Source organism: Homo sapiens, chromosome 19, assembly GCF_000001405.40.
Source record: "Homo sapiens chromosome 19, GRCh38.p14 Primary Assembly".
Taxonomy (NCBI): Eukaryota; Metazoa; Chordata; class Mammalia; order Primates; family Hominidae; genus Homo; species Homo sapiens.
The window spans coordinates 56,314,620-56,342,064 of NC_000019.10; the positions used below are offsets into that span (position 1 = coordinate 56,314,620).

A 27,445-nucleotide genomic window follows, 5' to 3' on the forward strand; every position below is an offset into this window, starting at 1 on the left:
CCCAGTCCGGCCTCCGCCAGTGACGTCACCGCAAGGGCGGAAGGGAAGCTAAAGTCGTTACCATGGTGACCGCGACACACTCAGAAACGTCTACTAGTGACGGTCAAGCCACCTACAACCGGTCCCAAAGCCGCAAACGAGTCAGGCATCGTGGTAGGACCTGGCGAGTGGGGCCGGGGAGAGCGGGACGCCTGGATCGGGAACTTGTCGCATTCACATTGGCTGCTAGGAGGCCTCGGCGACCACTTCCGGATCCGGGGCGGGGGTCGCAACTCCCAGCCCTTGCTCAGAGGGCTGAACTAGAATTCCCAGAAGCCTCTGCGGCCGCCTTCCTGCTCCTTCACTCCTGCTTCCCCCACAAATAACAGTGAGTGAAAGCATCTAACAAGCGTTTCCAACTCGCCGAATCATTACTAGTGCAGGCATTTTATTCTAAGCTGCTTTTTACTAAAACGTGCTCTTGTCGCTCTGAACCTTTAGGACTACAATACCCAGAAGTCTCTGGGAGTCGCCGAGCCCTGTAGTTTAGGGTTGTTTTGCGGCCAGCGAGACGCCGGAAGTCTGGGAATAAGGCGGGACCAGGGAAAAAGCAGGATTCCGATTGGTGAAGAGGCCACATGGCCTTCTTTAAAGGACGGGATAGAGTTGCACACGCGCATTGAGGCGTGTCTTCCCTGGTTCTGCGTCCGTGAAGCCTAGAGATTCCCGAGCCTGGGTCACCCGGGCGGTGTCGCATGTCGTCTGCGGGGAGGTTGGGGCTGCTCGCGCGAGGCGCTCTGGGTCTCATTTCCGAGGCCGAAAATGCTGGCTCCAAAGTGGTGCCCTGGGAGATGAGGGCGACTCGCAGATTCCACCCTATTCTCTGAATGGGCTTCGAGTCTCCATGGTAACGGCCCCTCCCAGTTCCCCTGTGACTTCATAGCTGCCCACGGGAGGGGAGAAAGCTGATGTGAAGGGGCTGTGGGTTCTCAGCCAAGCTCTGTCTTTGAGGCCACCTACCCTATACCACTCGTCCCGGAAAGGGTGAGCCGGTGACCTTTCACCCTCTCTGGGCCTCAGTTTCCCTTTTTGTGAAATAATGTCTGGTACCCCTGCTGTGCTCCCTTACTATTTCAGGGCCCCGGGCAAGAGACACACTCTGTGTCTCAGTTTCCGCATAGGTAAAGTGAGGATGATGTTAGAATTTGATGTTAAAATTTAGGTGGTGGTTGTGAGAATTAAGGGAACCTCAGAGCAATGGCCAGCACACAATGACCCTTCAAATGTCAGCGGCTTTGATGATCACCATTCTTACCTTTTCTTTGGAGATTTGGACAAGTTACCGCCCCACCTTCCTCCAGGGTCTTTGTGTATTGATCTGCAGGTTGGATGTATTGGATGTTACGACCACTAAACTTTCTTCTGAGCACACACGAGCAGTGGTGTTGTTCTCTCTGAGAAATACTACAGGCTTTGGTGTTAAGACACTGGAATTCCGGAAACCTGTCCCTGTCATACCAGTTGCTGTGTGACCTCCGTCAATCATGGTTCTTTACTGAGCCCTGAGACTCCGCACGTGAAAATGGATGGGGATGAACTTCCAGTCCAGGCAGTGCCACTGACTTTGCTTGGGGACCTGGGGCAAGCTCTGTGGCCCAGCATTGCACCATCTGTAACAACATAACCAAGGGGTGCGCAATTGAGCTTTGAGGTTAATTTCGGTGCTAAAATCCCGGTCAGTAGTTCCGTCATCTTCACAGACCTCACCCTACCCAATGCCCTTATTGTGCTCCACATCCCAATCAACACTTACTGATTCCAGATTTGTAATTTTTGCCATTGTAGTGAGAAGTAATTAACTATTTTATGGTTTTTTAAATTTGAATTTTTGACTATCAGGATTAGCATATTTTTTTTTTCTTCGTTAAAGACTAGTCAAGTGCATTAGTGAGGAGGGGGGAAAGAGTAGACCAAGGAATTTGGTCTGTAACTGACTGTGGACAATACATTGGTAGAACTCACTACCTTTGAGCCAGCCAGAATCTTTTTATTATTCACTGGATATTCAGGTTTTGCCTCTGTAAATTTTCTTTCATTGCCATTTTTTTCAAATAGTTCATTCAATCTTTGTTTTCAGATGTGCTTTCCACAATCAGGTTACAAATTCTCTGCCACTAATGATCATTACAATTCCTCTTCTCAGCCTGTTTATTGTTTGGTCTGTTTATGGTTTCTCAGGCTTCTTATTTATTTATTTAGACAGAGTCATGCTCTGTTTTCCAGGCTAGAGTGCAGTGGTGTGATCTTGGCTCACTGTAGCCTTGACCTCCTGGGCTTAAGCAATCCTCCCACCTCCGCCACCTGAGTAGCTGGGACTACAGGCGCATGCCACCACCTGCAGCTAATTTCTGTATATTTTGTAGAGATGGGGTTTTGCCACATTGCCCAGGCTGGTCTCGAACTCCTGGGCTCAAGCGATCCAGCCGCCTTGGCCTCCAGAGTGCTGGGATTACAGGTGTGAGCCACCATGCCTGGACTAGGCTTCTTTAAACATTGAATAGTGTTCCTTTCTAGATGAAGGAGGATCACATAGCACTTGGGAGCAAAGATGCAGCCAAGTAACCCAGTGCTGGAGCCCACGATGGAGAAGATCTCACGGCCACTCTGGCCTTGCCCTGGGTGCTTTAGTAACTCGGGAGGAAGGCCACCCAGACACTGCAGGACACCAGCATGCTGAAGGTCAGGAACTTGGCTTCGTTGAAAGCATCAGGCAGGTTCCTTGCCAGAAAGGCTACAGCAAGGGACCCTAAAACCAAGAAGCCCAAGTAGCCCAAGACAGAGTAGAAGGCAGTGACGGAGCCCTCATTACACTGGATAATGATGTAGCCAGGCATGAACTGAGGGTCCTTGTTTACGAAGGGAGGCTCTGTCCCCAGCCAGATTCCACAGAGGGTCACTTGGGTAAAGGAGCAAAGGAAGACAACAGAATTTGTTTTTTGGGGACCCATCCACTTTCGGATCCTGCTTTCTGGCCTTATAGCCTGGAAGGCCCTGCAGAAAACACAGCCACTGTGAACACAGCTGCAAAGGTGGTCTGTGAGAGGAGGCAGGTGGCAGGGCTGGGGCGGCCGATGAAGAGCGAGGAAGAGAGAAAGCAGAGTGTGAGGGAGACAAGGAGGGTGTAGCTCAGAGTCTGGTTGCTGGCCTTGACTATGGGAGTGTTTTGGTGCCACACAAACTCCACAAGGATCAGAACAGAGAGGACAGAGTAGAACAAGGCTGTGCATGCCAGAGTCAGGCCCAAAGTTTCATCATAGGCCAGGAAGGTCTCCTATTTGAGAAGGTATGTTCCCTTTTCTTGTTTGGATAATGATATTCAGGACAAAGCCTGCATTGTTTTATATCTGAAATAAACAAAAAGGGTGTCACTGTCTCCAAAACAGAGCACTGCACGTTTGGTAAGATTCCATTGCCCAGAGCTCTCACCACCACAGCGCCATTTAGGTGGACTGTTTGGCTGGTGTGTGTGTGTGTGTGAGAGTTGTGTGTGTGAGTTGTGTGTGTGCGTGCACGCAAGCATGCGTATATGTGTTCTGCATGTGTTTTAAAGGAAAACATAAATACTTCACCAGCTTTTTTTTTTGACCATTTTAATCAGTTTTATTGATTCATGCTTCCGGTTCTTATTCAGTTCAAAACAAGGCACATTAAATACATCCTCTTATTGCTTTATAAATGCACGTAGCTCATTCTCTATATCAAAAGTAATAAATAATGGCCATAAAACACCAAGACCTTTATAAAAATGACAACCCAGCCTTGAACATAGTATTTAACAGTCCAATCTAGAACAATAACCCAACACGGTACATCAAAGTGCCACATATGAAAACATGCAGTGTGTGTAGTCACTCTAGTACTGAGCTTGCACTGGCTATTCTTTAAAAACATACTAGGGCTTTTTCACTCCTTAAAAAAGGTGGACATGATGCAAACATTGCAAGTTATAGCATCACTGACTTTAATATTACATTTATGTGCCAAAAATCTTTACAGATACATAAGAGAAAATAAAATCAATGATAACACCGTATATTTAATAAAAGTGAAAATGAGTTTTTTGTTGTGCCAAAGAGGAAGCTACATATTTTGAAACAGACAAAGCCAAGCCAGAAACTGAAGCAGAAGAGGGATCACGCATTTAATAGCAGAAATCCTAATACACTCAGTATAAATTGATTGAAAGCAGGAATATTGCAAACAGCATGATGGATATGAGGCAGACCACCGTGGCTAAACAAATAATCCAGCATTATCATTATTGTTATGACTGTGGTGGGGCTATTTAAAGGAGTATCCAACTCTCTAGCACAGATGGGGGTTCCTTCACCTGACTCCCCTTAAAGGCTCTTGAAATAAATCACTTGATAATAAAAGGCAATCCCTGCATACCCACCCCAACCCCAACAGAATCAACTAATGTCAAGTTTATATGCAAATGGAAAATTTTTTCTTTTGTTCTTGGAACGAATTTCAAAGAAGCTCATTCCCCCCTATTTCTTGTCTCCCTTTCTTAAATCAGGTAAGGAAGCTGTACAGGCTTAATTCAGAACTTATGGCTGGGTGCAGTGGCTCACGACTGTAATCCCAGCACTTTGGGAGGCTGAGGTGGGTGGATCACGAGGTCAGGAGTTTGAGACCAGCCTGACCAACATGGTGAAACCCCATCTCTACTAAAAATACAAAAATTAGCCAGATGTGGTGGCGGGTGCCTGTAATCCTCACTACCCGGGGGGCTGAAGCAAAAGAATTGCTTGAACCTGGGAGGCAGAGGTTGCAGTGAGCCGAGATTGCACCACCGCACTCCAGCCTGGGCGACAGACCAAGGCTCCATCTCGGGAAAAAAAAAAAAAAAAAAAAAGAATTTACACAAAATGCTGGGGTGCTTTATTCACAGTAATGGCTTGAAATCAGTTCATTTCCAAACGAGTCTCTGGGATTGGTGAAGGACCGTGTGTTTTAGCATTTAGCAGATTTTAAGTAAAAGCAGATATGCTCAAAAGAAGAAAAGTGTGCTTTTCTTTGTCCTTAAAGGAACTTCATTCATAGCAAAATATGCACAAACAAGACCTGTTTAACAAACACAGATCTGCTCGGGCCAGTCGCATCCTAAGCCCGGTCCCTCCTGTAACTATGGTCCACTGGAATTGGGACTCTTCTGTCGAGGTTCTCTTCTGCAGTTTTCATTAGTATAAAGAGCCGGCTTCCAGACACCCTTCCTTTTTGAATAGCACTCATCAGCTGCAAAAATTCATTGAGTTCAACCTGTCCATTTTTATTCAAATCGACTTCATTTAGAATTTCATGGAGTGTATTTTCATCCATTTGGACATTGATACTCTCTAATACACATGGAACATCAACAATGGTAATAAAGCCTTTCTGGTCTGCATCAGACTTACAAAATCTCTTCTTATACCTGTCACTGTCTGAAGGCAGTAGGCTAATTTCAGAGCCATCTGTTAACTGTTCTGATCAAAGTTTAGTCTGTTTCATAATATAGAAACTTCCTGGTTGTTTCAAGTTGTTCCTGTTTCTTATAATCATCTCAATTCTGTTCTCTGCCCATTAGTTCAACAATCCTGAGTAGGGCTTGCTCTGCTGCCCGGACATTTAGAAAGGCCAGGCGAGGCTGAGGCAGGCAGATCACCTGAGGTCAGGAGTTTGAGACCAGCCTGACCAACATGGAGAAACCCAATCTCTACTAAAAATACAAAATTAGCCAGGCGTGGTGATGTCCTGACCAACATGGAGAAACCTAATCTCTACTAAAAATACAAAATTAGCCAGGGTGGAGACCCAATCTCTACTAAAAATACAAAATTAGCCTGTAACTCCAGGTACTCGGGAGGATGAGGCAGGAGAATCGCTTGAACCCAGGAGGCGGTGATTGCAGTGAGCCGAGATCATACCATTGCACTCCAGCCTGGGTGACAAGAGCGAAATTCTGTCTCAAAAATAATAATAATAATAATAATAAGCCAGGCGAGTACAACGTGAAATCATATCCACGGTGGTGCAGGAATACTCCTTAATCCCATAGTTCACCTCTGCTTCAATATATGGAAATTCTGACACAAGACGTACTCCAACAATAGGCCACCTTTTGCTAGTCACACTTGCCATTGTGGCCACCTCAAAAGCCTTATCACCATAGGTGGCAGCAAGATGCTGTGCCCCCTCGCTTTCAAGTCCATAATCCTGGACAAGCTTCATGTAGAGTGTGGGGTTCCAATCTTTACCCCCTTGAAGGAAAAGCCCAGCTGTTCTACTTGGTCCTGCTTTCAAATTGTGGGTTTTGATAGCAGCATTTAGGGTATCTTCGCCACAGACCGGTAAGTTGTCCACTTTCCACCTGCTGTAGTAATAAGACTTCTCTCACTGACATGGACAACATGATTTCAGGAGATAGACTGAGTATCTGCAGATTTGGGATCTGTAACAAGGGGACGGATACTGCTCCACGCTGCTAGGATGTCGCCCCTCTTCTCACCTCAACATCACAGCTCAGGTAATTACGTGCTTCATTCAAAATGAAGTTAATATCTTCTTCTGAAGGACTTGGATGGTGTGTAATATCAGTTGGGGTATCAGTAGTGCCAGCAATCATCATCTTTTGCCAGGGTAAGAAGAAAATAACTCGCCCATCACTGGTCAAGAAGTCCCATGCCCTCTGGGCTGTAATAACCAGGCATCACAATGTGGACACCAGCAGTTGGCTGGCAGATAGCTGCAGCATCCTTATCATCTATTTTGCACACAGAGTCTGTGAAATGTCCAACGGCATTGATAACACACTTGGCTTTCATGTCAAATTCCTGCCCTGTGAGGACATCCTTGCACCATGCACCACTCACACGCACTTTCGCTGTCTGTCTGGGTGTCTGTCTTCTTAAGCAAGCTCACTACCTCCCTGTCATTGACTGTGGCATCCCCATATCTGGCAGCAGTCAGCACAATGGCAAGGTTCATCCATGCATCGTTATGTCGTCCATCATAGTAGACAATTCCTCCTACCAGTTTGTCCTTCTGGAGCATTGGGAAATGTTCAAGGGCTCTTGATTTGCTGAGGACATAACTGCTTTTCAGGCAATTACTTCCTGCAACCAAATCATACAGCTTGATTCCTACCCAGTAGTAAGGTAACTGCCACCACTTGTAAACTGGAAGCATGATAGGCAATGGAGCTGATAAATGGGGAGAAATTTCTGGCAGGTTGGCACGCTCATCAAGGGCTTCTGTTACCATCCGGTACTGCTCAATATCCAACTTCATCATGGCCTTCTGAAGATATCTCACACCACCATGGATCAAATTAGTGCTTCTGCTGCTGGTCCCTGGTAAGTAATCATCTCTTTCTACAAGGCTGTTTTTAGTCCTCTGGTGACGGCATCTAGTGCACAGCCACTTCCTCTTTCTTCTCCTCCCATAACAAGGATATCAAATTCAGATATATTTTTGCAAAGTCAGTAGCTGAGCGTCTCTGGAAGGAGGCTCCCTGTTAACAGGTTCTGAAATGCAGTCTGCTGCTTCAACATAGACCAGGCTCATTTGTTTCCTTCTGTAATAAGCAAACTGAGAAAGTCCTAAAACAGTTGCAAGAGCACCTCCTTCAACAAGAATTGTCCCTTTCACTGCCTTTTGAAAGGCCATTTCTTAGCCTGAGGACTTCTCATTGTCTGCCGCCAGATCTGGCTTCCCCTATTCCACACCTCTCAGCCGGCAGGCTTCCCTAGGCCTACAAATTTGTCCAGGAGGCGGGCGACCCCGCAACCCCACCATCAGAGCTCAGAGCCCTCGCCTGGCTTTACACTTCACCAGCTTTTCCAGTAATACTGGGGGCAAAATATCCTGGAAAAACTTCCACTACAGTGTCTTTAATAATTGTGGATCTTACCTCTCTGTTCATCTCTGTCTCTATCTCATGTAAACGCGTTCCCTCCCTGCCCAATCTATCTCTCGCCATCTTGATATCTATCTATAGATACAGACATGTAGTCGCCTCTCAGTATGTCTGTAGGGGATTAGTTCTAGGATCATCTCAGGCACCAAAATCTCAGGCTGCTCAAGTCCACTGCATAAAATGAAGTACTATTTGCATATAACCTAGCACTTACTCCTGTATACTTTAAATCATCTCTAGATTACATATAATACCTAATACAATGTAAATGCTATGTAAATAGTTGTTAGACTCTCTTGGTTTTTAAATTAGTATTATTTTTATTGGTTTCTTTTTTTTTTTTTTTTTTTTGAGACAGAGTCTCGCTCTGTCGCCCAGGCTGGAGTGCAGTGGCGCGATCTCTGCTCACTGCAAGCTTCGCCTCCCGGGTTCACGCCATTCTCCTGCCTCAGCCTCCCAAGTAGCTGGGATTACAGGTGCCCGCCACCACGCCCGGCTAATTTTTTATATTTTCAGTAGAGACGGGGTTTCACCTTGTTAGCCAGGATGGTCTCGATCTCCTGATCTCATGATCCACCTGCCTCGGCCTCCCAAAGTGCTGGGATTACAGGCGTGAGCCACCGCGCCCGGCCTTGGTTTCTTAAAAATATTTTTTGGAGACCGGCTTCTTGCTCTGTCACTCAGAGTGCGCTGGCACAATCACAGCTCACTGCAGCCTCAACCTCCCAGGCTCAAGTGATCCTCCCACCTCAGCCTCCTGAGTAGCTGGGACTAGGTGCATAGTTTATTTTTTGTAGAGACAAGGTCTCACCATGTTGCCCAGGCTGATCTCAAACTCCTGGACTCAAGTGATCCTTCTGCCTTGGCCTGCCAAAGTGCTGGGATTACAGGTGTGAGCTACTGTGCCTGGCAAAAAAATATGTTTGATCCCAGGTTTGTTGAATTTATGGATGCAGAACCCTGAGGCAGAACTTTTTTTTTTTTTTTTTTTTGAGACAGCGTTTCACTCTTATTGCCCAGGCTGGAGTACAATGGTATGATCTCGGCTCACTGCAACCTCCGCCTCCCGGGTTCAAGCGATTCTCCTGCCTCAGCCTCCCAAGTAGCTGGGAGTACAGGCATGCGCCACCACAGCCTGCTAATTTTGTATTTTTAGTAGAGATGGGGTTTCTCCATGTTGGTCAGGCTGGTCTCAAACTCCTGACCTCAGGTGATCCACCCGCCTCAGCCTCCCAAAGTGCTGGGATTACAGTCATGAGCCACCATGCCTGGCCGGCAGAACTTTTTTTTTTATAGATACATAATAGTTATATATATTGTGGGATCAGTGGTATTTTGATGCATGCATACAATGTCTAATGATAAACCAGGACAATTGGGACTCCATCACCCCAAACCTGCACCCTTTCTTTATGTTGGAAACATTTCAATTCCTCCCCTCCAGCAACTTTAAATCATACAACAAATTATTGTTAACTATAGTTGCCCTGCTGTACTACTGAACAGTAGATCTTATTCATTCTATCCAACTGTATTTTTGTGCCCACAAAACAACCTCTCTCCTTTCCCCCTCTATTCATAGCCTCCGGTAACCACCAATCAACTCTCTAATTCCATGAGATCCATGTTTTTAGCTCCCACATATGAGTGAGAAGATGGAATATTTGTCCATCTATTCCTGGCTTATTTCACTTAACATAATGTCCTCCAATTCTATCCATGTTGCAGCAAATAACATTTTATTCTTTTTTATGGCTGAATAATATTCCATTGTGTATATGTATCATATTTTGTTCTTCAGTTGGTCAAGAGGTATATGAAACTCTGTTCAACATCAGCACATCAGGGAAATGCAAATCAAAACCACAATGAGAAATTATCTCACTCCAGTTAAAATGGCTTTTATCAGAAAGCCAAAAAATAATGGATGCTGGTGAGGATGCAGAGTAAGGGGAACCCTCGTACAATGTTGGTGGGAAAGTAAATTAGTACAGCCACTATGGAAAACTGTGGTGGTTCATCAAACAACTAAAAATAGAATCCCCATGTGACTGGCATTCCCACTGCTGTGTACATGTTCAAAAAAAAAAAAAAAAAAGGAAGTTAGTAGGTCAAAAAGATATCTGCCCTCCCACATTTACTGACACAAATTTCTGAGGGCCTGTGGAGGAAAAGTTAAATATTAAGTTTGAATTCAATTGAACATGGCCACAAACAATGGTCACCAAGTCCTGGAACAGGTTGTGTGAGCCCCTTGAGGCATTCACCCAGCACTGTTTTGGAGAACTGTCTATTTCAATCTATTCCTATACATTAGTTATTGAAAAACAATAGACAACCACAAAAAAAAGTTGACCTTTTTGTGTTCCTTGAGCCCAGTCGTGAAGGGCCCTTGTGACTGGGCCTCATGTCAAACAACTCCTTACAAAAAGAACTAGGGTCCCAGACTGCGTTGAAGCTTCATGAGACCTCTCATTTTCTGTGCATGGACGAGTGTCTGACTCTGGAGCCTAGGCTGTTGCTTCCCAGCCTGGTGGTGAATCCTCCATAGTCTGGTGAGTGTAAATAGATGTATATCTTTTCCCTTCTTCCCTCCCCATTGCAATTTGCTTATTATATCCATTTGCTTATTATATAATTTGCTTATTCTATCTACATTGCCATTTACGTGGGATAAAGGTTGTTTACCCTTAAAGGTATTGTGTGTGTGTCTTTTCTTCTCCCCTCACACGTTTCCCACACAGAATGGGGCCCCTCCCCAGAAACTGTCTTCCTTCCTAATGTCCCGCTTTATGGGAGCTCAGTTCAAGATGAGATTTGGGTGGGGACACAGCCAAACCATATCAATGACTGCTTTGTTTGGCCCAGATTCCAGTTGTATCTACTGGGAGAGGAATTATCCCCTGAAAGAGAACAGGGAGGTCATGGGGCTTAGCTTGCTAGGTTCCCTTCTTGTGTGAATTTCACTCTTGCATGACCTTTTATCCCTGCCTGAAAACTGTTGCCAGATAGAATGCATCCAGGTTTGTTGTTTTCTGTATCAGGAAGTCCAGTCTAGCACCAGTCACTCTGTCATCACCAGAAGTAGACACTTAAAAAAAAAAATAGCGTTTGAAGGGGTTAAGGAGGGAGAATTCATTAGATTAGTGAGGCAGATATACTGGTTATCTGTTGTTGTTGTTGTTGTTGCTGTTTTCAGGATTTCAGGGCCTAGATTTTATGACAAGAAATATTTCAAGAGGATTAGAGTGTGGTGTTAAAGAATTAAGAAGACAATATATATTGAGTGCCTTTTGCCAGCTTTGAGTTTTGATTAACAAAAAATTACATATATTTAGAGTGTACAATGGGATGTCTTGATGTATGTATATATTGTGGTTTTTTTTTTTGAGATGGAGTCTTGCTCTGTTGCCCAGGCTGGAGTGCAGTGGTGTGATCTCCGCTCACTGCAAGCTCCACCTCCCGGGTTCACGCCATTCTCCTGCCTCAGCCTCCTGAGTAGCTGGGACTACAGGCCCCCGCCACCACGCCCAGCTAATTTTTTTTTTTGTATTTTTAGTAGAGACGGGGTTTCACCGTGTTAGCCAGGATGGTCTCGATCTCCTGACCTCGTGATCGGCCCGCCTCGGCCTCCCAAAATGCTGGGATTACAGGCGTGAGCCACCACGCCTGGCCTGATATACGTATATATTGTAAAATGTCTAAAACAAGCTAATAAATATATCCACATCTCACAGTTACCATTGTGTGTGTGTGTGTGTGTGTGTGTGTGTGTGGTGAGAACATTTGAGATAACTCTTGAAAAATTTCAAGTACACATTAGGATTCTCTATGTTCACCATGCTATACATTAGGTCTCTAACAGTATTTCATCTTATAGCTGAAAGTTTCTGCCCTTAGACAAGCATCTCCCCAATCCCCCAACCCTCCACCCCTGGTAACTGCCATTCTACTCTCTGTTACTACTCTCTGAGTTTGACTTTTTAATATTCCACATATAAATGGGAATCACGCAGTATGTGGCTCTCTGTGCGTGGCTTATTTCACTTCCCATAGTGTACCGCTGGGTGCCTTTCAGTACTGGGCGATTAACTGCAAATGACACCCCCACCCACACATGCTCTCACGTAAATGTGCGGCATCTCTCCCTCCACTTCACTAATGGTACAAATCCCACTAGATCTCGAGTCTCCTCTGCTTTGATTTCCATCATGGGCCCTAATATGCAACATATTGATGCGCTGCTCATAATCAATCATGCCAAGTCTTCTTCATGCCTGTGGCTTCCTCTTCAACACATAAAGAAACCAGCCTTGAGCAGAACATAGCAGCTGAAAGACACTCCTTACACTTTGCTCTGTACCCATCATTCACTCATCCAGCAAACATTCACTCAGTGCTATATGCTGACCCACCTACAATGCCCTTCACGAGTTGAGGTTGTGCTTAACCTCAAAATAGTCATGTGACACTTACATGAATATAGAAAAGCTACAGTGATTTTTTTTTTTTGTTAGAGATAGAGTCTAATTTCAGGTGTCCATTAGGATTTACTACATTCGTCATGCTATATATACATTAGGTCTCTAATGTCACCCAGGCTGGAGTGTAGTGACACGATCATGGCTCACTCCAGCCTCAAACTCCTGGGCTCAAGCAATACTCCTGCCTCAGCCTCCCAAGTAGCTAGGACTAAAGGTGCATCCCACCGCACCTGGCTATGTTTTTTATTCTTTATAGAAATGGGGTCTTGCTATATTTCTCAGGCTGGTCTCGAACTCCTGGCCTCAAGCAATTCTCCCATCTCACCTCCCAAAGTGGGGGATTACAAGTGTGAGCCATAGCACCTGGCCAACTGCAATGATTTTAATTATAAATATATATATTTATTAATAATACATTTACTATGTTTATATATTATGTTTTATAATGTACATGTTAAATATGTATACCATATAAGTCATACACATATTGAATATAAATATGCACATTATATTAAATGACATTAAATATATACAAATATCTTATATGTATGATATATAATTTTACATCCCAAAATGCATATTTTACAATATAAGTGCATGCATATCTTATACTATCTAGGTATAAATGTATTTTATGTATTCTATACAAATACTATACAATACATAAATTTATGTATATATTCAATTTTACACATCTACTAATATATGTAATCTATTTTGTTTTTACATGTGTATTTACATACACATGCGATACATATGCACTGTAGTTCATGTATTACATATGCATAGTTGTGTGTTATATGTAGTATTACATAAGTATCCATACGTGTATATATTTCCCATGTAAATGAATATGTGTAGTATAGATAATTCATATATATCAAAATATGATAGTATACATGATATATTCACATTAGTACATATTTTGATACATATACATTATAAACCTTACATACATTTATATTATGAAGTATATCCACATAGTTAGAAGTAGCTTAATAATAAACTCAACATTTATGGTAGTGGTCATGTATGGGAGTAGCACAGTGAAGGGAGAAAGAGAGAAGCATGGATGGACAGGAGAAGTGATCAGTGTTTACTCCTTAGGTGGATGGGGATGTTTTTGGTAGTTCATCATTTTACTATGTTTTATAACTGACATGTATGTTGCAAGTTGTTTTTTCAACATATTGAATACTTCCAAAGATACAATTATAAAGAAAAATGCTGTCACAGAATGCAAACTTCCTGTTTTAAAAATTTTACTATTTTATTATAAAATAATTTTAGTTTTATGACATTAAAAAAACATATTTGTGGCCAGGCGCAGTGGCTCATGCCTGTGATCCCAGCACTTTGGGAGGCCTAGGCAGGTGGATCACGAAGTCAGGAGTTTGAGACCAGCCTGACCAACATGGTGAAACCCCATCTCTACTAAATACAAAAATTAGCTGGGCATGGTGGTGCGCACCTGTAATCCCAGCTACTTAGGAGGCTTAGGCAGGAGAATCACTTGAACCGAGGATTGCAGTGAGCTGAAATCACACCATTGCACTCCAGCCTGGGCTACAGAGCATGACTCTGACTCAAAAAAAAAAAATTGTTCCAAAAAATGGGTAAAATATGGTAAAGAAGATAATCACATAAACCAAATGTGGGTCAAAGAAGAAATATGGCCAGGCGCGGTGGCTCATGCCTGTAATCCCAGCACTTTGGGAGGCCGAGGCAGGTGGATCATGAGGTCAGGAGATCGAGACCACGGTGAAACCCCATCTCTACTAAAAATACAAAAAAAAAAAATTAGCTGGGCATGGTGGCGGGCATCTGTAGTCCCAGCTGCTGGGGAGGCTGAGGCAGGAGAATGGCGTGAACCCAGGAGGCGGAGCTTGCAGTGAGCCGAGATGGCGCCACTGCACTCCAGCCTGGGCGACAGAGCGAGACTCCGTCTCAAAAAAAAAAAAAAATAAATAAATAAATAAATAAAAGAAATGTAACAGAAATTTTAAAAATAATTTGACCTTGGCTGGGCATGGTGGCTCATACCTGTAATCCCAGCATTTAGGGAGGCCAAGGTGGATGGATCAGTTGAGGCCAGAAGTATGAGACCAACCTGGCTAACATGGCGAAACCCCGCCTCTACTAAAAATACAAAAATTAGCTGGGCGTGGTGCCATATGCCTGTAAACACAGCTACTTAAGAGGCTGAGGCACGAGAATCAGTTGAATCTGGGAGGCAGAAGTTGCAGTGAGCCGAGATCGTGTCACTGTACTCCAGCCTGGGTGACAGAGCCAGGCTCTGTCTCAGAAAACAAAAACAAAAACAAACAAACAAACAAAAGTTGAACTAAATAAAAATGAAGTTACAACTTACCAGATTTGTAGGATGAAGCAAAAGAAATGCTAAGAGGGAAATAGGAGAGTTATAGTATTAAGTATATCAGTAAAGAAGATAATTCTATATTCAATAGTCTATGTTTATACCTTAGGAAACTAGAAAAAGTACTGTATTCTGTACTCTAATCCCAAAGCAAGCAGAAGAAATAATAATAATAATTGGAGTAGAAATTATTGAAATTGAAAATAGAAAAATAGAGAAAGTCAACATCTAAATATTCCTTGAAATAGTCAATACAATTTAAAAAACATAAAAAAAAAGTTTTTCATGATAATTTACTTTCTCACATCTTGGTAGGTCAAATATCTTATTTTGTTCTTTGTGTATCACCATTGTAATCTGGGTAGTTTATTTATCCCAACAATGAATGTTTTTATTTTTAAAAAATTTTTATTTCAAAACTAATTTCCACTTTAGGTTCATGGAATACATGAGTAGGTGTGTTACTTAGGTATGTTGCATGATGCTGAGGTTTGATGATTGATCCTGTCACTCAGATAGAAAGCACAGTACCCAATAGTTTTTCAGCCCTTGCCTCTTGTCTTGCTTCTCCCCTCTGGTACTCCCCAGTGTCTACTGTTCCCATCTTTATGTCCATGTGTGCTCAGTGTTTAACTTCCACTTATAAGTGAGAACATGCAGTGTTTGGTTTTCTGTTCCTGTGTTAATTCACTTAGGATAATGGTTTCTACCTGCATCGATGTCACTGCAAAGCACAAGATTTTGTTCCGTTTTATGACTGCATAGTATTCCATGGTGTATATGTACCACATTTTCTTTATCCAATCCACTAATAATGGGCAGCTATGTTGATTTCACATCTTTGCTTTTGTGAATAGCGCTGCAATGAACATATGGGTGCATGTGTCTTTTTGGTACAAAAATTTATTTTCTTTTGGATATAAAACCAGTAATGAATTGCTGGGTCAAAGGATAGTTCTGTTTTAAGTTCTTTGAAAAATCTCCAAACTGCTTTTCATAGTGGCTGAACTAATTTACATTCCCACCACAGTGTATAAGCATTCCCTTTTCTCAGTAGCCTTGCCAGCATCTCTTGTTTTTTTTACTTTTTAATAATAGTCATTTTGACTGGTGTAAGATGGCATCTCATTATTGTGGTTTTGACTTTCATTTCTCTGACGACTAGTAAAGTTAAGCATTTATTCATGTTTGTTGGCTGCTTGTTTTCTTTTGACAAGTGTCTGTTTACATCTTTTGCCTACTTTTAAGGGGGTTACTTTATTTTTGCTTGTTTAGTTGTTTACTTTTTATGTTGATTCTGAATATTAGACCTTTTTTGATGCAGTTTTTGAATATTTTCTCCCATTCTATAGGTGGTCTGTTACTCTGTTATTAGTTTCGTTTGCTGTGTAATTAGATCCAATTTGTCATTTTTTTGTTGCAATAGCTTTTGAGAACTTAGTAATAAATTTTTTTCCAAAGCCAATCTTCAGAATGGTGTTTCCTAGGTTTTCTTCTAGACATCTCTTAGATTGAGGTCTTACATTTAAATCTTTAATTCTTCTTGAGTTAATTTTTGTATATGGTGAAATGTAGGGGTCCAGTTGCATTCTTCTGCATATGCCTAGCCAGCAATCTCAGCACCATTTATTAAATAGGTAGTTCTTCACCATTGTTTTTCTGTTGTTGCCATTGTCTAAGGTCAGATGGCTGTAGGTGTGTGGCTTAATTCTGGGTTCTGTTTTTTGTTCCATTGATCTATGTCTGTTTTTGCATGCTGTTTTGCTTATCGTAGTCTTGTGGTACAGTTTGAAGTCAAGTAATGTGATGCTTCCAGCTTTGTTTTTGTTGTTGTTTAGAATTGCTTTGACAATTCAGGCTATTCTTTGGTTTTAGATGAACTTTAGAGTAGTTTTTTTCTAGTTCTGTGAAAAAAGATGTTAGTAGCTTGATAGGATTGGCGTTGAATATGTAATTGCTTTGAGCAGTATGGCCATTTTAACAATATTGATTCTTACAATTAATGAACATGGAATGCTTTTCCATTAATTTTTGTCATCTATTATTTTTTTCAGCAGTGTTCTGTAGTTCCCCTGGTAGAGATGTTTCACCTTCTTGGTTATATATAGTCTAGGCTTTTTTTTTTTCTTTCAGCTATTGTAAATGGAATTGCATTCTTTTTTTTTTTTTTTTTTTTTTTTTTTGAGACGGAGTCTCGCTCTGTCACCCAGGCTGGAGTGTAATGGTGTGATCTCGGCTCACTGCAACCTCTGCCTCCTGGGTTCAAGCAATTCTCCCGCTTCAGCTTCCTGAGTAGCTGACATTACAGGCACCCGCCATCATGCCCGGCTAATTTTTGTATTTTGGTAGAGATGGGGTTTCGTCAGTTGGCCAGGCTGGTCTTGAACTCCTGACCTCAGGTGGTCCACCCGCCTCGGCCTCCCAAAGTGCTGGGATTACAGGTGTGAGCCACTGCGCCCAGCCTAGTATTTCAAAGAATTTTTTTTATTTCTCCCTTAATTTCATTGTTTACCTAAAAGTCATTCAGGAGCAAGTTATTTAATTTCCATGTTATTGTGTGGTTTTGAGAGATCTTGGTATTGATTTCTATTTTTATTGCACTGTGGTCCAAGGGTATGGCTGCCATGATTTTTATTTTTTTTAATTGATTGAAACTTGCTTTAGGCTGAGCTTGTTGTCCATGTGTTCCATGTGCAGATGAGAAGAATGTGCACTCTGTAGTTGTGGCTTCAGTGTTCTGTAAATGTCTATTAGGGCCAATTGGTCAAGTGTCAGATTTAAGTCCAGGTTTCTTTGTTAGTTTTCTGCTCTGATGATCCGTCTAATGCTGTCAGTGGGGTGTTGAAGTCCCCTACTATTATTGTGTGGATGAGTCTTTTCATAGATCTAGAACTACGGCTTTATGAAGCTGGGTACTCTAATGTGGGGTACGTATGTATTTAGATAGTTAAGTCTTCTTATTAAATTGAGGTCTTTATCATTATGAAATGTTTTTCTTCATACTTTTTTATTTTTGTTGTTTTAAAGTCTGTTTTGTCTGATCTAAGAATATCTACCCCTGCTCTTTTTTGTTTTCCATTTGTATGATTTTCTTCCAACCTTTTACTTTGAGCCGTATGGGTGTTGTCACATGTGAGATGGATCTCTTGATAACAGCAGACAAATGAGTCTTTCTTTTTAAAATCAAACTTGCCACTCTACGCCTTTTGAGTAAGGCATTTAGGCCATTTATATTCTAGGTTAATAGTGATATGTGAGGTTTTCATCCTTTCATGAAGTTGTTGCCTAGTTGCTTTGTAGGTTTTTATTGGGTGGTTGCTTTATAGGATCTGAGGACCATATACTTAAGTGTATTTTTATGGTAGCAGGTATTGTTCCTTTGTTTCCATGTCTAGAATTCCCTTAAGGATTTCTTGTAAGGCTGGTCTAGTGGTAACAAATACCCTTATTGCTTGCTTGTCTGTAAAATATTTTATTTCTTCTTTGCTTTTGAAGCCTAGTTTGGTGTGACATAAAATTCTTTGTTGGAATTTCTTTTCTTTCAGAATGCTGAAAATAGGCCTTCAATCCCTTCCAGCTTGCAAGGTTTCTGCTGAGAAGTCTGCTGTTGGTCTGATGGAGTTCCCTTTGTGCATAATCTAACATTTTTCTGTAGCTGTCTTTAAGATTTTTTTTTTTTAGTATTGATGGTAGACAGTGTGGTGACTATGTCTTGGTGATGTCTGTTTCGTATAGTATCTCCCAGGTGTTCTCTGGATTTCTTCTATCTGGATGTCTACCTCTCCAGCAAGATTAGGGAGATTTTCTTAAATTATTCTCTCAAATATGTTTTCCAGGTCATTTACCTTTTCTCCTTCTCTCAGAAATGTCATTAATTCATAAGTTTGGTCACTTTATATAATCCCATCTTTCTCAAAGACTTTATTTTTTTTTTAATTCTTTTTTTTGTTTGAGTTTCTTCAAAAGACCAGACTTCAATTCCGAAATTCGTTCTTCTGCTTGCTCCAGTCTATTGATAAAGCTTTTAATTGTATTTTGAAATTCCTTAATTGAGCTTTTCAATACCAGAAGCTCTGACTGATTTCTTTTTGACATGTTTATCTCTTCCTTCATTTACTAGATTGCTGTAGAAATATTTGTGTTGATTTTGAACCTTGCCTTGGGTGTTGCTGAGCTTCCTTGCAATGCATGCTTTGAATTTTTTGAGAGCTTCTCTTAGTAAACAATAATAAAGTATATACCTAGTGACATTGGCCACAGCCATCTCTTATTCATGCATGCCATCTGCTGGTAGTATGCCAAACTGCACAATAGCTCAATATAAAGCCAGACATGAGAAGAGTCCATAGGGCTATAAAAGCAAAGCCAAAAGATGGTAGCAAACATACTGTATGCTCACACCTTCTAGGGAGACAGGGGAAAGGAAAAAGAAAAATATATATATATATATAAGAATCTTGTCTGCATGAAAATAATTACAAAAATTAGGAATGCCAACATCTCCAGATGAGAAGAAGCCATTGTAAGAATTCTGGCATCATGAAAAATCTGAATGTTGTGACACCACTGAAAGATTACACTAGCTCTTCAGCAATGATCCCTAACCAAAATGGAAAATAAGAGATTACAGATTTAAAAATTCAAAGCATGCATTCCAAGATGGACAAGTCTGGAATGGGCAGGCCCATGTACAGGCTTCCTGATAGCAGACACAAGCACCAGTGTCAACCATGTACCCAGAGGTGTGACTAGCCATGGAGATCAGATAGGAAACCTCCTTGGCTCCAAGTTCTCTGCATAGAGTGGGGTGTTCTAGATGCCTGGAGGTCTGCCTGGGCTTGGACTATAGACCACCCCACTGCACCACAATCTCTGCAAAGAAAGGGTGGGGTGGCTCACAGACTGCCTATTTTATCACATCTCTACCATTTGGTGATGATCTGATCTTGCACAAATTATTTTATTATTATTTTTAAATTTTTTATTTTGTTCACTTTTCCAACATGATGTATCAGTTACATTGACATAACCATTTATTTTTATTTTTTATTTCTGTGGGTACATAGTAGGTGTATATGTTTATGGGTTACATGAAATATTTTGATATAAGCATGCAATGCATAATAATCACATCAGGATAAATGGGGTATCCATCACCCCAAGAATTTATTTTTTGTGTTACAAACACAAATATAGAGCTCCCAGAGGAATGGGCAGAATTCCATCTTTGCTATTTCTCAGCCTTCACTGGTGATACCTCCAGGTACTGGAAAATCTGAGATGACTAGGGACTGGAGAGGACTCCTAGCAAACCACAGCAGCCCTATAGAAAAGTGGCCAAATTATTAAAAGAAAAAAATACTCATCCAAAGGTCAGCAACTTCAAATATTAAAGGTAGGTAAGCCCACAAAGATGAGAAAAAAATCAGCACAAGAATGGTGAAAACACAAAAAGTCAGAGTGCCCTCTTTTCTCCAAATGACCACATCACCTCTCCAGCAAGGGTTTGAAACTGGGCTGAGATGGCTGAAATGACAGAAGTAGACTTCAGAATACGGATAAAAACAAACTTCACTGAGCTAAAGTATCATGTTTTAACCCAATGCAAGGAAGCTAAAAAGTCATGATAAAGCATTGCATGAGCTGACAGACAAAATAGCCAGTGTAGAGAAGAATGTAACCAGCCTGACAGAACTGAAAAACACAATAAAAGAATGTTAAAATGCAATCACAAGTATTAATAGCAGAATAGACCAAGCAGAGGAAAGAATCTCAGAGCTTGAAGACTGCCTTTCTGAAATAAGATAGGTAGACAAGGATAGAAAAAAAAAAAAGAATGAAAAGGAATAACCAAACCTCCAAGAAATATGGGATTGTGTAAAGAGAACAAATCTATGTCTGGTGTACCCAAAAGAGATGGGGATAATGGAACCAATTTGGAAAACATATTTTAGGATATCATCCATGATAACTCCCCCAACCTAGCTAGCCAGGCCAACATTTCCATTTGCTTGGTAGATCTTCCTCCATCCCTTTATTTTGAGCCTATGTGTGTCTCTGCATGTGAGATGAGTTTCCTGAATACAGCACACTAATGGGTCTTGACTCTTTATCCAATTTGCCAGTCTGTGTCTTTTAATTGGAGCATTTAGCCCATTTACATTTAAGATTAATATTGTTATGTGTGAATTTGATCCTGTCATTATGATGTTAGCTGGTTATTTTGCTCATTAGTTGATGCAGTTTCTTCCTAGCCTTGATGGTCTTTACAATTTGGCTTGTTTTTGCAGTGGCTGCTACCAGTTGTTCCTTTCCATGTTTAGTGCTTCCTTCAGGAGCTCTTTTAGGGCAGGCCTGGTGGTGACAAAATCTCTCAGCATTTGCTTGTCTGTAAAGTATTTTATTTCTCTTTCACTTATGAAGCTTAGTTTGGCTGGATATGAAATTCTGGGTTGAAAATTCTTTTCTTTAAGAATGTTGAATATTGGCCCCCACTCTCTTCTGGCTTGTAGAGTTTCTGCCGAGAGATCGCTGTTAGTCTGATGGGCTTCCCTTTGTGGGTAACCCGACCTTTCTCTCTGGCTGCCCTTAACATTTTTTCCTTCATTTCAACTTTGGTGAATCTGACAATTATGTGTCTTGGAGTTGCTCTTCTCAAGGAGTATCTTTGTGGCATTCTCTGTATTTCCTGAATTTGAATGTTGGCCTGCCTTGCTAGATTGGGGAAGTTCTCCTGGATAATATCCTGCAGAGTGTTTTCCAACTTGGTTCCATTCTCCCCGTCACTTTCAGGTACACCAATCAGACGTAGATTTGGTCTTTTCAGATAGTCCCATATTTCTTGGAGGCTTTGTTCATTTCTTTTTACTCTTTTTTCTCTGAACTTCTCTTCTCGCTTCATTTCATTAATTTCATCTTCCATTGCTGATACTCTTTCTTCCAGTTGATCGCATCAGCTACTGAGGCTTGTGCATTCGTCACGTAGTTCTCATGCCGTGGTTTTCAGCTCCATCAGGTCCTTTAAGGACTTCTCTGCATTGGTTATTCTAGATAGCCATTCGTCTAATTTTTTTTCAAAGCTTTTAACTTCTTTGCCATTGGTTCGAACTTCCTCCTTTAGCTTGGAGTAGTTTGATCTTCTGAAGCCTTCTTCTCTCAACTCGTCAAAGTCATTCTCCATCCAGCTTTGTTCCGTTGCTGGTGAGGAGCTGCATTCCTTTGGAGGAGGAGAGGTGCTCTGATTTTTAGAGTTTCTAGTTTTTCTGCTCTGTTTTTTCCCCATCTTTGTGGTTTTATCTACCTTTGGTCTTTGATGATGGTGACGTACAGATGGGTTTTTGGTGTGGATGTCCTTTCTGTTTGTTAGTTTTCCTTCTAACAGTCAGGACCCTCAGCTGCAGGTCTGTGGAGTTTGCTGGTGGTCCACTCCAGACCCTGTTTGCCTGGGTATCAGCAGCAGTGGCTGCAGAACAGCGGATATTGGTGAACCGCAAATGCTGCTGCCTGATCATTCCTCTGGAAGTTTTGTCTCAGAGGAGTACCCAGCCGTGTGAGGTGTCAGTCTGCCCCTACTGGGGGGTGCCTCCCAGTTAGGCTACTCGGGGGTCAGGGACCCACTTGAGGAGGCAGTCTGCCTGTTCTCAGATCTCAAGCTGCATGCTGGGAGAACCACTACTCTCTTCAAAGCTGTCAGACAGGGACATTTAAGTCTGCAGATGTTACTGCTGCCTTTTGTTTGTCTGTGCCCTGCCCCCACAGGTGGAGCCTACAGAGGCAGGCAGGCCTCCTCGAGCTGTGGTGGGCTCCACCCAGTTCGAGCTTCCCGGCCACTTTATTTACCTACTCAAGCCCCGGCAATGGCAGGCGCCCCTCCCCCAGCCTCACTGCTGCCTTGCAGTTTGATCTCAGACTGCTGTGCTAGCAATGAGCGAGGCTCTGTGGGTGTAGGACCCTCCAAGCCATGTGTGGGATATAATCTCCTGGTGTGCCGTTTGTTAAGCCCATTGGAAAAGTGCAGTATTAGGGTGGGAGTGACCCGATTTTCCAGATGCCATCTGTTACCCCTTTCTTTGACTAGGAAAGGGAATTCCCTGACCCCTTGTGCTTCCCAGGTGAGGCGATGCCTCGCCCTGCTTCAGCTCATGCACAGTGCACTGCACCGCACCCACTGTCCTGCACCCACTGTCCGGCACTCCCCAGTGAGATGAACCCAGTACCTCAGTTGGAAATGCAGAAGTCACCTGTCTTCTGCGTCACTCATGCTGGGAGCTGTAGACTGGAGCTGTTCCTATTCAGCCATCTTGGCTCCACCCGCCCTGTACTTTCATTTATAACTTGCTTGTTTTACTTAACAATGCCTCCTGGAAATTATTCCTTAACAGGTGTGAAGTTTATCTAGTTCTGTGTGTGTGCGTGTGCAGGTACATGTTGCTTTACATCCTGGTCAATATTTAGTGATTACAGATTTGTAAGTTTTTCTTTTATTCTGCAAAGTAATATGCTATTTCGTGGCTTTTTAATTTGCATTTTTGATTACTAGTTAGGCTTAGCATCTTCTTTTTTAAAACTGAAGACTAGTGAAAGTTGAATCCTGGAAGAGGGGAGAGTATAACAAGATAAATCTGTTACTGTGAAAAATTAATTGTGACAACTCAATACCTTCCAATGAGCCCAGAATCTTCTTATTCACTGGATATTCAGGTTTGCTTCTGTAAGTAACTTGCCAATATCTCATTTTTTTTTTGAAACAAGTTGTTTAATATTTATTGATTTTTCAGGAGCACTTTACACAATTAGCTTACAAATTCTCTACCACTAATAAGCATTATAGTCCCTCCTCTTAATCTAAATATAGTATAGTCCTTCTGTTTATGGTTTCTCAGCTTCTTCTTTAGGCATTGAAGACTGTTCCTTTCTGGGTGAAGGAGAATCACGTAGCAATTGGGAGCAAGATGCATCCATGTAACCCAGTACTGGAGGTCAAGATGGAGACAATCTCCACAGCCACCATGGCCTTTCCCTGAGTGCTACTATAACTCAGGAGGAAAGCCACCCAGATACTGCAGAACACCAACATGCTGAAGGTGAGACATTTGGTTTCATTGAAGATGTCAGGCGGGTTACTTTCCAGGAAGACTACAGCAAAGGTCCCCAGAACCAAGAAGCCCAAATAGCTCAAGACACAGTAGAAAACAGTGATAGAGCCCCCATTACACTGGATGATGATTATACCAGGACTATGGGTCTTTGTCTAGGGAGGAAGGAGATGTTTCCAACTAGATTCCAGAGATGGTCACTTGGATGAGGGGGCAAAGGTGACAACAGAATGAGATTTTAGGGTACCCAACAGGACCTTGGGTCCTGGCTGGCCTTGTAGCTTTCCCATCCTGCTAGCTGGCCTTGTAGCTTGGAAGGCCATGACCACAGTGAAAGTTTTGGCTGAAGCAGAAGACACAGCCACTGTGAACTGAACTGAAAAGGTGGCCTGTTCCCAGGGTTCAAAGCATATATGGAAGGAGAAAGCTTGACAGTGACGTAATGTATTTGGAGTGCAAAAATGCCTGCAGGGAATTCATTCTAAATGGGGAGAAATACAGAACAGGCCTTAGGAACAATGTGACCTGGGCATTGTCATCTTTTCATTGTAACTAATTACAGACTGCACTGGATTTGTGAGACATATGACAGCAAACCTTTTCTGTAAAGGGTAATAAATATTTACAGTTTGCAAACCAGAAGGTGTCTGTGGCAACTATTCAAGTCTTCTCTTGCAGATTGAAAGCCACTGTAAGCAATATGCAAAGGAGCAGTTGTAGCCGTATTTAGCAATATGCAAAGGAGCAGCTGTAGCCATATTTAGCAATATGCGAAGGAGCGGCTGTAGCCGCATTTAGCAATATGTGAAGGAGCGGCTGTAGCCGCATTTAGCAATATGTGAAGGAGCGGCTGTAGCCGCATTTAGCAATATGTGAAGGAGCGGCTGTAGCCGCATTTAGCAATATGTGAAGGAGCGGCTGTAGCCGCATTTAGCAATATGTGAAGGAGCGGCTGTAGCCGCATTTAGCAATATGTGAAGGAGCGGCTGTAGCCGCATTTAGCAATATGTGAAGGAGCGGCTGTAGCCGCATTTAGCAATATGTGAAGGAGCGGCTGTAGCCGCATTTAGCAATATGTGAAGGAGCGGCTGTAGCCGCATTTAGCAATATGTGAAGGAGCGGCTGTAGCCGCATTTAGCAATATGTGAAGGAGCGGCTGTAGCCGCATTTAGCAATATGTGAAGGAGCGGCTGTAGCCGCATTTAGCAATATGTGAAGGAGCGGCTGTAGCCGCATTTAGCAATATGTGAAGGAGCGGTTGTAGCCGCATTTAGCAATATGTGAAGGAGCGGTTGTAGCCGCATTTAGCAATATGTGAAGGAGCGGTTGTAGCCGTATTTAGCAATATGTAAAGGAGGAATTGCAGCCATATTTAGCCTGTGGGCCAAGATTTGCCTGCCCTTGCTCTAGATGACTTAGAGAACTCAACACCTGCCCACACTGACCCTTCCAATCTGTTCCTGGGGATTGTCTGATACTACTGTCTTGGGGAAAGTCTGAGCATTTTTCCCCTCCTCCATCCAAACCCAAAATGGACAGAGAAAACTCACTTTGTGCAAAATGGAAATCCAAATGGAAATTGGATTCCATTTGGATTTCCATTTTGCTATGGAGACTCATGCAACCTGTTCTGTGGCCAACTGGACCTAGAAGGATGGTGTTCTCTCAGAATTTGCAGGATAAAGTTACCCAAAGAGTAAACATGAGTTGAATGTCAACTTTCAGAAGGAATCATTTGAAAGCCCCCCTATCATCTTTCTGTCAGCAAAATGTCTCTCAAGGCAGTGCCTGCATTCAAAGTAGCAGTGGAGCCAGCAGGGCAGCTCTCACTGCAGACGGAATGAGAAAACTGGAGGAAGCAGAGTTCTAAGGTTAGATTGTCGGATCTCCAGGAGAACGAAGTTCAAAACCACTTTTCCTTTTCACAATTCTCTTGATTCTTCTCTTAGTATGAGTCAGGGTAGCAGGTCACATCAATGTCATGAAAGGAATACTAATGATAATAATTTAGGATATTTTTGGCTACAGCTAGAGAAATCTCAAACAAACAAGCTTAATCAGGAAAGCTTTTGACACATAGTTGGAAATGGAGGTACTTATGTGTTTCTGAAATCCTGTTTTTATTGGCTTCTCATTGGCTTTTTCATGATGGCAAAATTATACTTAGCTGTTAGAGCCTTCATATCCATGAACTACAATTTCTGTGGAATAAGAAGGAGATATACTGGAACTGAAGCTTTTGGTAACCTCGAATTTTCATTTTGGCAGGCAAACCAAAGAGAAGAAAGACTTTGTGCTTGAGAGTTGAAAATGAGACCACCTTGCCATGTCAATTCAGGTCTCTTAAAGTCTTCCCTTGCAGGAGAAGAGGGAAGTGAAAAGATCTTCTTGTGAACAGGGTCTGGTGTGGACCTCCAGCAAACTCCAACAGATTAATTCATTGACAGAATGGGATTGTCTTGTGAAAGGGAAATATCTTGGATCCCTTCAAGCTGGGAACCCCTCAGGGCAAATCTGCCTACTTCTGTCAATTCATCAATCTCATTCTCCGTCCAGTTTTGTGCCCTTGCTGGAGAGGAGTTGCCATCATTTGTCATACACAAGTATCAATAGCCAAATTGATCACGCAAAAGAAACGATATCAGAGATTGAAGATCAACTTACTAAAATAAGGCATGAAGAAAAGATTAGAGAAAAAAGAATGAAAAGGAACTAACAAAGCCTCCAAGAAATATGAGACTATGTGAAAAGACCGAACTACAGTTGATTGGTGTACCTGAAAGTGACAGGGAGAATGGAACCAAGTTGGAAAACACATTTCAGGATATTATCCAGGAGAACTTCCCCAACCTAGCAAGACAGGCCAACATTCAAATTCAGGTAATACAGAGAACACCACTAAGATACTCCTCGAGAAGAGCAACCCCAAGACAAATAATTGTCAGATTCTCCAAGGTTGAAATATATACAATATATTCAATATAAGCTCTCAGTATTTAAAATTTAGTAGGGCTTGGTGTCATTTTTAGACCCAGGAGTCAAGGCCCTGTAACTCAATGTCACAAGGACTTTAAAAGCACATACAGGAAGATAACAAATGTAATAACCTTCATTAAAAATTTTTTTAACCTCAGTTTTTTCTAAGCAATAAAACATAAAATCTTCTAGGCAGGTTACCAAAAGGCAAAAAAAAAAAAAAAAAAAAAAAAACCCTTCTGCAGTGCACAGAATATTATGTTCAAAGGAAACATTTCCTTTAGACCTTTGAGAAAACACTGTTAGCATCAGGCAACAACAACAACAAAAAACTGGAACCCAAGGAAAACAAACTTATATGACCTGAAAATGAGTTGAAGGAGAGTGTTACTATTTTGTGCCTTTTAAAAAGGGAGAGAAAACCAAAACCCGTGAGATGCAATAAAAGTTGAATTTTGGGTTAAAAATTAAAAAATAAAATATCTTATAATTTATTGAGTAAATCAACCCCTTAAGAAAATTTCATTGTTCTAACCAATTCTTTAGTGTATAAGTGTTTTCTTACATCAAA

At 42.0% G+C, this 27,445-nt stretch overlaps 1 protein-coding gene, 2 long non-coding RNA genes and 3 pseudogenes across 15 annotated transcripts in view; 2 read left to right on the forward strand and 4 right to left on the reverse strand.

The window, feature by feature from the left end:
- Positions 1–27,445, reverse strand: part of ZSCAN5A (zinc finger and SCAN domain containing 5A) — a 146,976-nt gene that overhangs the window by 93,317 nt on the left and 26,214 nt on the right. For 8 of the 13 annotated variants that reach the window (NM_001322078.3, NM_001322077.3, NM_001322073.2 and 5 more), the window contains exon 1: positions 62–220. The gene's annotated coding sequence lies outside the window, so the exon portion shown is untranslated. Of the gene's footprint in view, positions 221–1,294; positions 1,650–27,445 lie in introns of those variants that run through there. The other 5 variants (NM_001387854.1, NM_001387857.1, NM_001387856.1 and 2 more) reach the window with 2 other exon arrangements.
- ZSCAN5A-AS1 (ZSCAN5A antisense RNA 1) lies at positions 84–26,583 on the forward strand. Its single transcript, NR_186830.1, has 3 exons — positions 84–367; positions 23,686–23,886; positions 26,167–26,583. It is a non-coding gene; the product is annotated as a ZSCAN5A antisense RNA 1 (long non-coding RNA).
- On the forward strand, positions 387–3,419 carry LOC105372468 (uncharacterized). Its single transcript, XR_936088.3, has 2 exons — positions 387–886; positions 1,202–3,419. It is a non-coding gene; the product is annotated as an uncharacterized LOC105372468 (long non-coding RNA).
- Positions 2,664–3,266, reverse strand: VN2R17P (vomeronasal 2 receptor 17, pseudogene; annotated as a pseudogene).
- Positions 3,941–7,846, reverse strand: LOC729999 (glycerol-3-phosphate dehydrogenase 2 (mitochondrial) pseudogene; annotated as a pseudogene).
- Positions 23,599–24,286, reverse strand: VN2R18P (vomeronasal 2 receptor 18 pseudogene; annotated as a pseudogene).